Here is a 12,000-nt window from a genome sequence, read left to right as displayed (position 1 = left end):
CCCAGAATCCAGGATATTCTACGACAACTGTGATGGACTCTTCTAAAAGCCAATAAAATGACATAAAGATGAGGGGCTGTTCAGTTTAAAAGTGACAGAGCAGGCCGGGTGCAGTGGCTCACCCCAGTAATCCCAGCACTTTGGGAGGCCAAGGTGGGTGGATCACAAGGTCAAGAGATCGAGACCATCCTGGCCAACATGGTGAAACCCCATCTCTACTAAAAATACAAAAATTAGCCGGGCGTGGTGGCAGGCGCCTGTAATCCCAGCTACTCGGGAGGCTGAGGCAGGAGAATTGCTTGAACCCAGGAGGCGGAGGTTGCAGTAAGCCGAGATCACGCCACTGCACTCCAGCCTGGGCGACATAGCGAGAGTCCGTCTCAAAAAAAAAAAGTGACAGAACCACCAAAATGTTACAATGTATGATCTGGAGAGTAAATCCTTGTTAAATATCTATGAAATATATTCTTGGAACAATTATGGAAATTTCAACATGGAATGGATATTATAAGATTCTATGGAATTGTTAATTTTTAGGGTGTGATTTTAGTACTTTGGGTATATGTATTACCATTACTTTTAGGAGATACAAACTGATTTAGGGGCAAAATGATATGATGTTTATAACTTAACTCTCAAATGGTATCGCAAAAAAATGTATTTTATAGAAAAAGCAAAATATACATTTTCAAATCTAGGTGGAAGGTAAAAATGGGTGTTCATTATAGAATGCATTCTATGTTTCTGTGTCTCAGAGCATTTTCATAATAAAATTAGTAAAAACTTTCTAAATAGACAGCTTTTTTCTTTTTTTGAGACAAAGTCTTGCTCTTGTCTCCCATGCTGGAGTGCAATGGTGCAATCTCAGCTCACTGCAACCTCCACCTCCTGGATTCACGCGATTCTCTTGCCTCAGCTCTTGCCTCAGCCTCCCGAGTAGCTGAGACTACAGGTGCCTGCCACCACACCCAGCTAATTTTTGTATTTTTAGTAGAGACGGGGTTTCTCCATGTTGGCCAGGCTGGTCTCAAACTCCTGACCTCAGATGATCCACCCATCTCAGCCTCCTAAAGTGCTGGGATTACAGGCGTGAGCCACCATGGCCAGATCTTTCTTTTTTCTATCCATTTAATTTCTGTATTATTATGGGTAAATTCCCTCACACCTCTCTTTGATGCTTCAACAGCTACATTCTAAGGTCCTCCCACTCACTACATCCTTAGGGTTTCTCTTCATCTTTAATTTTAGAACTTAAGCAATGAGGTCTGAATTTAGATCTTTACATTTTATTTATATTCTAATGGAGTGCCTTAGTTATCTGGGCTGCATAACAAAATATCGTAGACTCAGTGGCTTATAAACAACTGAGGTTTATTTCTCACAGTTTTGGAGGCTGAAAGTCCAAGGTCAAGGTGCCAGCATGCTTGGGTTCTGGTGAAGGCCCTCTTTTGCACTGTAGACTGCTGACTTCTTGCTGTAACCTCATGTGGTTGAAAGAGCTAGCTGGCTCTTTGGCTTCTTCTTATAAAGGCAGTAATTCCACTCATGAAGGCTCCACCCTCATGACCTAATTTCCTCCTAAAGGCCCTACCTTCAAATACCATCACCTTGGGATTCGTGTTTCAACATAGGAATTGTTACGGGAACACAAACATTCAGCCCATAACAGATTTTATCAAAGAAGTACTTCATGAAATGTAAGTGATGAGTGGTTTTTCCAAATTTGTCATCTCCATTGCATCTTCCTATTAAGAAATCCACTAATAATAATGTTGATGATAATAAAAACAGTAATATCCAATATTAATCCAAAGCAGTTTGGGCCAGATAGTTGTTGCTGTATTATACATGTTGGAAACAACCACACTTTTAGGTGTGTTTCATTTTACAGCTGAGGTACCAAGAAGCAAATATTTTGTCTAATATCACACAGATAGTAGAGTAGTGGAAAGGCAATGATGATAAGTATATGCTGTTGCTAGAACACTTTTCCACAACTGTTACATTAACAGCTTTATTTTCTAGTGTGAATTTTCCTAAATTTAATGAGAACTAAGAGGTATTTAAGACTCATACATTTATTAAGTTAATATGTGTAAAAAAACATCAACACATTGACAGAACTTCTGGCCATAAATATTTTGATATTCTATAAATAGAGCATGACATGGAAACCTTTTCTTATATTAAATTACATTATGAGTTTTCTGATGTTGATAAAGATGTGAATATTGTCTAAAGGCCTTTCTACATACCTTACACTCATAGGGTTTCTCACCAGTGTGAATTCTCTGATGTTCAGTAAGGTGTGAATTAAGTCTAAAGGCCTTCCCACATTGTTTACACTCATAGGGTTTCTCACCAGTATGAATTCTTTGATGTATTCTAAGGTCTACACTACGACTAAAGGCCTTCCCACATTCTTTACATTTGTATGGTTTTACACCCGTATGAATTTTCTGATGTTCAGTGAACTGCCCACGCCGACTAAAGGACTTCCCACATTCTTTACAGTCATAGGGTTTTAAACCAGAATGAATTTTCAGATGTTCTTTAAGATTCCCTCTACGAATAAAGGCCTTTCCACATTCTTTACATTTATAGGGCTTTTCACCAGTGTGAATTCTCTGGTGTTCAGTAAGGTAGAAACCAAATCTAAAGGTCTTCCCACATCGTACACATTTGTAGGGCTTCACATCAGTATGAATTTTCTTATGTAGACTAATTTGAGAACGAACTCGAAAGGTCTTCCCACATTCCTTACATTCGTAGGGCTTCACACCAGTATGAAGTCTCTGATGTTCAGTAAGGACTGAACGAAGCATAAAGGCTTTCCCGCATTCCTTACATTCATATGGTTTCTCTCCAGTATGAATTCTAGAATGTACTCTGAGGTCACCACTATAACTAAAAGCCTTCTCACACACCTTACATGCAAAAGGTTTTATACCAGTATGGATTGTTTTATGCCGATTAAGCTGTCCACGCACATTAAATGATTTCCCACACTCCTTACATTCATAAGGTTTCTTACCTGCATGAGTTCTTCTGTGTTCAGTAAGGTAAAAACTAAGTCTAAAGGTCTTTCCACATTCCTTACATTCGTAGGGTTTTACACCAGTATGAATTTTCTGATGACGGGTAAGTTGTCCGCATACACTAAAAGCTTTCCCACACTCCTTACATTCATAGGGTTTCTTACCTGTATGAATTCTCTCATGTTCTTTAAAGTAGAAAATAAGTTGAAAAACTTTTCCACATTCTTTACATTCATAAGATTTCTTACCAGTATGAATTCTTTTATGTTGAGTAAGTTCTAATCTACTAAAAAAACCCTTATCACATTTCTTACACATATAGGGTTTTTTACCAGTGTGAATTTTCTGATGTCGATTAAGTTGTGGGTAAAGAGTAAAGGTCTTCCCACATTCTTGACATTCATAGGGTTTCTCACCAGTATGAAATCTCTGATGCAGAGTAAGTTGATAGCTATGACTAAAAACTTTCCCACATTTCTCACATTTACAGGATTTTTCACCAGTATGAATTTTCTGATGGAGAGTAAGCTGATAGACATTATTAAAAGTACTCCCACATTCTTTACAATCATGTTTCACATCAGAATCTATTTTCCCATGTTGAACCAAGTGTGAGTCACAGCTTTTCTCACTATTGTGAATTCTCTGATTCAGAGTAAAAGAGGGACGTTTTCTATCAGTTGACATTTTTTTAGAGACGATTTTCTTTTGACTGATAGATCTTTCTTTAAGTCCCTGTTGACCCTCAAACTCACTTTTGTTCTGCCACTCATTTCTAAAAATGGATCCTTTCAGACGAAGAGTTTTACTTTTTTCTATTATACTCTCTTTGGATAAACTGATTTCATGAATGTCCTTTTCTGAAGATAATTTCTTGGTCTTATGCCTGGATAACAAACCTGAAAGAAAACATAAAAGCAAACAAAAATTATTTTCCTGTAGCCAGCATAACATAAAGTTTACATTTTCAAAATAGGAAACAAAGTGAAAACGGTTCTTACTAGAAGTCAGTGGCTTAAAGAATATTTCAATAAAGTTATATAATTTGAAATTAGGCAACATGAGCTTAGAAAATGAGAGATTATAGCCGGGCGCGGTGGCTCATGCCTGTAATCTCAGCACTTTGGAAGGCCAAGGCAGGTGGATCATCTGAGGTCAGGAGTTCAAGACCAGCCTGACCAACATGGTGAAACCCCATTTCTCCTAAAAAAAAAAATACAAAATTGGCCGAGCATCATGGCAGGCGCCTGTAATCCTAGCTACTCAGGAGTCTGAGGCAGGAGAATCACTTGAACCTGGGAGGCGGAGGTTGCAGTGAGCTGAGATTGCGCCATTGCACTCCAGCCTGGGCTACAAGAGCTAAACTCTGTCTCAAAAAAAAAAAAAAGATTATATAAGATTGTGGTGATATGGCAAATAGTTTATTTACGTCAGTGGTTCTAAAATTTTATTGTGTATGAGAATCATCTGGGGAACTTTATCACAAATACTGCTATTTAGTTACACACAAGTCAAGTGAACCAAATCTACAGGAGTAATTTGGTATCTGAATTTTTAATAACTCCACTAGATGATTCTGATATAGATCAAAGTTTGAGAATCTCCACTTAACAATTTTAACAGTTTTTCTTTACTCTTAGAATAAAATCCAAACATGTTACCATATAATATAATATGGTCTTTGGTTACCTAAAGACCTCTTTCAAAGACATTGTCCTCCTTACTCCCTCTTATTATGACTTGCTTCTATTCAGCTCCTCGATTGTGTCATAACATTTCCCATTTCATATAGTTTTCTATGGGATTTTTCATCTCCTAAAAATAATCTGTCCAGGGCTCTGTGAAAGGCCAACTCCTTCTCATTCTTAATGGTTGGTTAAATATCTCTTACACAGAAAGGCTTGCCCTACCGACTGTAAGGCAGTCTATGTCCTTTATTCTCAATTCCAGCATCATGTTTCATTTCTTCATTTCACAATTTTCAAACGCATATCCACTGATTTTTCTTTTTGCTCTTTTGTTGATTTTCTGATCCCTAAACCTTCCCAAAGGAAGATGTAATCCTTATTTCATTCAACAGTGAATAACTACCCACTAGCATACAGCAGGCATTAAACAACTGACTGTACAATAAATTAATCATTGTCTTAAAGGAAATTATGATGATGAATGACAGATAAGTCATGTATAGGACAGCTGAATATCAGGACAATCACTTAATTTTTATATTTTTGTAACAATTACAAAGGAGCTCTAATCTCTCTCACCTTATTACAGTGATTAAATGCACTCTTTCCTACCTTACTTCCTTTACAGATCAGAACAAAAGTAAATCCAAGGTAGTTCAACCAAATGTATAAAATGAAAAAGCCCTTGTTTTGCCTACTCATCCTTTAAATGGCTATCCAGTTAAACAGAGATGTTTCCAATCCTGTTGTTCACTGCCTCCTGTGCAAAGAGATGTATGTTTACACAGCTGAGTTTTACTATTATTCAGCCACCTACTGGATGCTCACTCTACTGTTTTTTTCTTTTCTTTTTTTTTCTTTCTTTCTTTATTTTTTGAGATGGAGTCTCACTCTGTCACCCAGGATGGAGTGCAGTGGCACAATCTCGGCTCACTGCAACCTCTGCCTCCCAGGTTCAAGCGATTCTCCTGCCTCAGCCTCCTGAGTAGCTGGGATTACAGGTGCATGCCACCAAACCCAGCTAATTTTTGTATTTTTAGTAGAGACAGGGTTTTACTATGTTGGCCAGGCTGGTCTCAAACTCCTGACCTCAGGTGATCCACTTGTCTCGGCCTCCCAAAGAGCTGGGATTCCAGGCATGAGCCACTGCGCCCGGCCACTCTACTTTTTTTGCCCCCCAAGACAGAGTCTTGCACTGTCGCCCAGGCTGGAGTACAGTGGCACCATCTTGGCTCACTGCAACCGCTGCCTCCCAGGTTCAAGTGATTCTCCTTGCCTCAGTCTCCCAAGTAGCTGGGATAACAGGCACCCACCACCACGCCTGACTAATTTTTTGGTATTTTTAGTAGAGACGGGGTTTCACTATATTGGCCAGGCTGGTCTCAAACCCCTGACCTTGTGATCCGCCCACCTCGGCCTCCCAAAGTGCTGAGATTACAGGCGTTAGCCACCGTGCCCGGCCCACTGTACTTTCTTTATAAGCTTTCTCAGATGATATCTCTTCTGTTCTCTTACATCTAAAACCAACCATTCCTATACTTGATAGAGAAGTATTTAAATGATTTGTATAGATATTGTAACAGGTATGTGCCATGTTGAATGGTTTCTGGAAAAAATGAACAAAGAAACTCAACAATTTTAGGGAGAACAGAGTAACTGAATAGTATGAAGAGATGGCTGGGAGACTAGAAGTGTCAAGGAATCTTATTAACACAGATAAGTTAAATGAAAGCTGGAGGGTGGCAATCTAAATAAGAAAAGAGCCTAAAAAAATCTAAATACTGGCCGGGCGCAGTGGCTCACGCTTGTAATCCCAGCACTTTGGGAGGCCAAGGTGGGTGGATCACCTGAGGTTAGGGTATTTTCTCAAGTAGATAGATCATAACCTGCTGGGGTTTTATTAGAGCCTAATGATATAGAGGAATGAAAATACCCAACTCAGCCCTCTAAGCTATCCTGTCACACCTAGCGATGGGGAAAAAACTGGAAGCACTGGTTAAGGTCCATCAGGTGGCACAGGTGCACCGAAAGACTGAGACCTAATTCTGGGACTGCGGAAACCTTATCACTGCACTCCTAAAGGCCTATTTACTATGTTTCCCATTACCCAGTACATCATGTTCACCTTCCAACAAAAAATTAGAAGGAAAACTAAAAGGCGAGAAACACTTTGATGAGACTAAACAAGCATCAGAATGAGAGTCAGATATGGCAGGAATGTTGGAATTATCAGACCAGGAATTTTAAAAGACTATAAGAAATGTGTTAAGGGCTTTAATAGAAAAAATAGACAACATCCAGATGGATAATGAAAACAGAGAGATGAATATTCTAAGAAAGAATCAAAAAGAAATGCTAAAGATCAAAAACACTGTAATAGAAATGAAGAATGGCTCTGATGTGCTCACTAGTAAATGGACACAGCTGAGAGTCTCTGCACTTGAAGATGTGACAAGAGAAACTTCCAACACTGAAAAGAAAGAGAAAAAATACTGAAGGAAACAGAACAGATATCCAAGAACTCTGGGGGTAAGCATAAAAGGTGTAAATACACATGATGAAAATACCAGAAGGAGGAAAATGAGAGAAAGGAAAAGAAGCAATATATGAAGCAACAATGAATGAGAATTTCTCCAAATTAATGTCAGACACCAAACCAGAGATCAGGAATGTCAGAGAACTGCAAATTAAAAACAACGAGATACCACTTCACACCTGTTAGAATGGCCAAAATCGAAAACACTGGCAACACCAAAGGCTGACAAGGATGTGGAGCAACAGGAACTCTCATTCATTGCTGGGGGAATGCAAAAATATTATAGCCACTTTGGAGAACATTTTGTCAGTTTCCTACAAAACTAAACCTATTCTTATCGTACTACTCAGCAATCATTTCTTTGGTGTTTACCCAAATAAAATGAAAGCTTATGTTCATACAAAAACCTGCACACAAATGCATATAGCAGCTTTATTCAAAACTTCCAATACTTAAAAAAAACCAAGATGTCTTTTAGTAGGTGAATGATTAAGCTGTGGTACATCCAGAGAATGGACTATTATTCAGTGCTAAAAGAATAAGCCATCACAAAAAGATGTTGAGGAAACTTAAATGCATATTACTAAGTGAAAGAGACCAATCTGAAAAGGCTACATACTATATGATTCCAACTACATGATAGTCTGAAAAAGGCAAAACGATGGAGACAGTAAAATGCTCAGTGGTTTCTAAAGGTTAGGGTGGAGAGAGGGATGACTAGGCCAAACACAGAGAAATTTTAGAGCAGTGAAACTACTCTGTATGATACTGCAATTGTGGATACATATCATTATATATTTTTCAAAGTTAATAGAATTTACAACACCAAGAGTGAACCTTAATGCAGACTGTGGACTTTGGGTGGTAATGATGTGTCAATGTAGGTTTATCAACTGTAACAAATGTACCACTGTAATGTGGATTGTTGGTAGTTGGGGAGGGTGTGTATGTTTGGGGACAGAGAGTATACAGGAAACCTGTACTTTCTGCTAAATTTTCCTGTAAACCTAAAACTGATTTTAAAAATAAAGTTTGTTAATTAATAGAAAGTTACTCCAGAAACTAGTAAAATATTGCAAAATATATATCTAGTATCTAAACTAATAAAATATTGCAAAATATATATATCTGATAAAGAAGTTGATTATAAGATATATAAAGAACTCTTACAAATCAAGAAGATAAAATGGATAATATCAATGGGAATTTTTGTGTCCTTGTATGAGAAAAAGAGTTCTTCAATACAAAAGCACAATTCATAAAAGAAAAAAAAGATACATTTGGCTTCATCAAAATGAAAAATATTTGTACTGCAAAAAATAAGATTAAGAAAATGAAAAGACATGCCATGTACCGCAATCTGGGAGAAAGTATTTGCAGATCATATATGTAAATAAAATGCTTATATTCAGAATATATTTTTAAAACTCTTGCAACTCAATAATAACACAAACAACCTAATTTTAAGAATGGGCAAAACACTGAACAGTCTTTCCACCAAAGATGTACCAATAGCTAATAAGCAATTGCTCAACATCAACCACAATTAGATACCACTACACACACACTGGAATGGCTGTTCTCAAAAAGACAGGTAATAGCATGTGTTGGAGAGAAGACAGAGAAACAGAAACCCTCATGCATTGTTATTGGGAAGGTACACCGATATAGGTAGTTTGGAACACATTTTGGCAGTTTCTTATAAAGTGAAAGTTATATTCGTCATATAACCCAGCAGTTCCATGCCTATGAATCCAACTAAGATGAATTAAGACATATGTCCACACAATGATATGTATACTCATGTTTATAGTAGCATTATTGATAACAGCCCCAAACTGTAAACAATACAAATGTCCATCGCTGGTAAATAGATAAGTAAAATAAGGTATATCCCTACAACAGAACATATTCAGCAATAAAAGAGAATATATCACTGATACATGCTGCTTCATAAATGGACCTCCAGAACATTATGCTAAGTTAAAGAAGCCAGAGTCAAAAGACTGTACATTGCATGATCCCATTTATATGAAATGTTCAGAAAAGGAAAATCAACAAAAATGGAAGGTAGGTCAGTAGCTGCCTAAAGCTGTAGATTGAAGAAGGGATTAACTGCAAAGGGGCACAAGGGAAGTTTTGGGGGTGATGGAAGTATTCTAAAACTGGATTGTCATGATTCCTGCCTAACTATAAATTGACTAAAAGTCACCAAGTGTGCACTTACAGTGAGTAAATTTTATGTTATGTAAATTATACCTCAATAAAATTGCTAAAAATTTTGATGGATAAAATTTCTGAACAGACACTTTTTACCAAAGGAGAAAAAGGAATGACAAATAAATGAAAATATGCTCATCACTAGTCATTAGTTAAATGCAAATTAAAATCACAATGAGATACACCTACACATCCACTAAAATGACTAAGATTAAAATGACTGACAATACAACAGGTTGGCAACAATGTGGAGCTATTGGACATCTAGTGGGAATGCCAAACAATATAGCCACTTTGGACAGTTTCTTTCTTTTTTTTGCGACAAGAGTTTCACTCTTGTTGCCCAGGCTGGAGTGCAGTGGCGTGATCTTGGCTCACTGCAACCTCCGCCTTCCAGTTTCAAGCCATTCTCCTGCCTCAGCTTCCCGGGTAGCTGGGATTACAGGCACACGCCACCACACCCGGCTAATTTTTGTATTTTTAGTAGAGACGGGGTTTCACCATGTTGGTCAGGCTGGTCTCGAACTCCTGACCTCGTGATCCACCCACCTCGGCCTCCCAAAGTGCTGGGATTACAGGCATGAGCCACCGCACCCAGCCCAGTTTCTTTTTTTTTAAATAAAGTTTTTACAGGTGTGTACCACCATGCCTAGCTAATTTTTGTATTTTTAGTAGAGACAGGGTTTGCCATGTTGCCCAGGTTGGTCTTGAACCCCTGGGCTCAAGCGATCCGCCTGCCTTAGCCTCCCAAAGTGCCGGGATTACAGGCATGAACTACTGCGCCCAGCCCAGTTTCTTATATATACTTATATAATCCATGAATCCCACCCTCAGGTGTTTAACCCGAGGTAACAAAGCATACATTAAAACAAAGACTTGTAAACAAGCACTCATAATAGCTTTATTCATGCCTGCGAAAGACTAGAAACAACTTAGATGTTCATAAACTGTTAACTAATAAGCAGATATGAAATACTATTCAGCAAGAAAAAGGAATTAACTACTGAGACTTCTAACTACTTGGATGAATCGCATAAATATCAGAAGTAGAAGTAGTATGACACAGAATACTGCATATTCTGATTTATTTGATATGAAATTGTAGAAAAGACAAAATTAGGGAAAGAAGGCAACTTAGTTGCCTGTCACGGGCTGAGCTGAAAGTGGGGGAAGGGTACTGACTGTAAAGAAACATAATGGAAAGTTTTGACATGATAGACATGTTCTACATCTTGACTGAAGTGGTGATGATTACAAGACTCACGTGTTTGTCCAAAATAATTAAACAGATACAATTAATGAATTTTATTCTATATAAATCATATCTCAATAAAGCTGATTTGAAAAAAAATAGTAAGGCTGGCCAGGCGCGGTGGCTCATGCCTGTAATCCCAGCACTTTGGGAGGCCGAGGCGGGCGGATCACAAGGTCAGGAGATCGAGACCATCCTGGCTAACACGGTGAAACCCCATCTCTGCTAAAAATACAAAAACTTAGCCAGGCGTGGTGGTGGGCACCTGTAGTCCCAGGTACTCCAGAGGCTAAGGCAGGAGAATGGCGTGAACCCGGGAGGCGGAGCTTGTAGTGAGCCGAGATCGCACCACTGCACTCCAGCCTGGGCGACAGAGCGAGACTCCGCCTTAAAAAAAAAAAAAAAAAAAAAAAAAAAAAGTAAGGCTATTTTCCAAAGCTCTATGTAATGCTCTAAACAAAATAATCCTGTATATTCCAGAATAAAAAATTTTAAGGAAACTATTAATTTCCTGTATTGACCACAGAAGAAATAAAAAGCCTAAGCAAATGAAATTCCATTGTGAAACACCTATCCTTGCAAACAATTTCATAGACGTCTATCAAAGTTTTAAAGAACAGATAATTTTAAAGTTAGTTTAGCTACTCGAGAAAAGAGCAAAAAGAAAAGTTATCTTATCCTTTTTATAAAATTATGATAAGCAAAACAACTAAGCAGAATTAAGAACTTTAGAGGCAAACATTTTTAAGAAAGAATGAAAAACTATCATGATTTGCAAATGATCTGATTATATACAGCCCAAGAATTTCAACTAAAAAAAATCTGCAAATAAAATACAAATCAGAATTTGGCTTGATATAGAGGAATCAACATACTATATAGAACTTAATAGCCTTTTCTTCATAGTTTTAAAAATGCATTATTTTTTACATTGACAGATAAATTTTATGTATTTACTCTGTACAACATATTTTGAAGAATATATACATTGTGAAATGACTAAATCTGGTATACAGTAAATAATCAATGTTAACTGTTATTATTATTAACTCCTGATTAACAGAAAATAAAAAGTGAACGAGCTATTGAGATGCAAGTAAACTGAACACCAGTATTCAAAATATATTTACATCTTTCACCTCAAACATAACTCTCCTTTCCCTCCTGCCAATTCTTAGCTGATGATCTCCCTTATTCCTCTAATAAAAATGAAGCATTGAAAAGAAATACATAATACCACATCAATCAACCCACCTATATCCATTG

The 12,000-nt window shown here is 37.5% G+C and overlaps 1 protein-coding gene across 3 annotated transcripts in view; it reads right to left on the bottom strand.

Moving 5' to 3' along the window:
* Nucleotides 1–1,270: 1,270 nt before the first annotated feature.
* The window catches only part of ZNF540 (zinc finger protein 540), a 62,806-nt gene continuing 52,076 nt past the window's right edge, over nucleotides 1,271–12,000 (bottom strand). For all 3 annotated transcript variants that reach the window (NM_152606.5, NM_001172225.3, NM_001172226.3), the window contains one exon: nucleotides 1,271–3,937. In NM_152606.5, coding sequence (NP_689819.1) covers nucleotides 2,187–3,937 — 1,751 coding nt within the window. In that variant the 3' untranslated portion in view covers nucleotides 1,271–2,186. The remainder of the gene's footprint in view (nucleotides 3,938–12,000) is intronic.

This window comes from Homo sapiens, chromosome 19 (genome assembly GCF_000001405.40).
Source record: "Homo sapiens chromosome 19, GRCh38.p14 Primary Assembly".
NCBI classification, from domain to species: Eukaryota; Metazoa; Chordata; class Mammalia; order Primates; family Hominidae; genus Homo; species Homo sapiens.
This window is presented reverse-complemented; position numbering and strand designations above follow the sequence as displayed.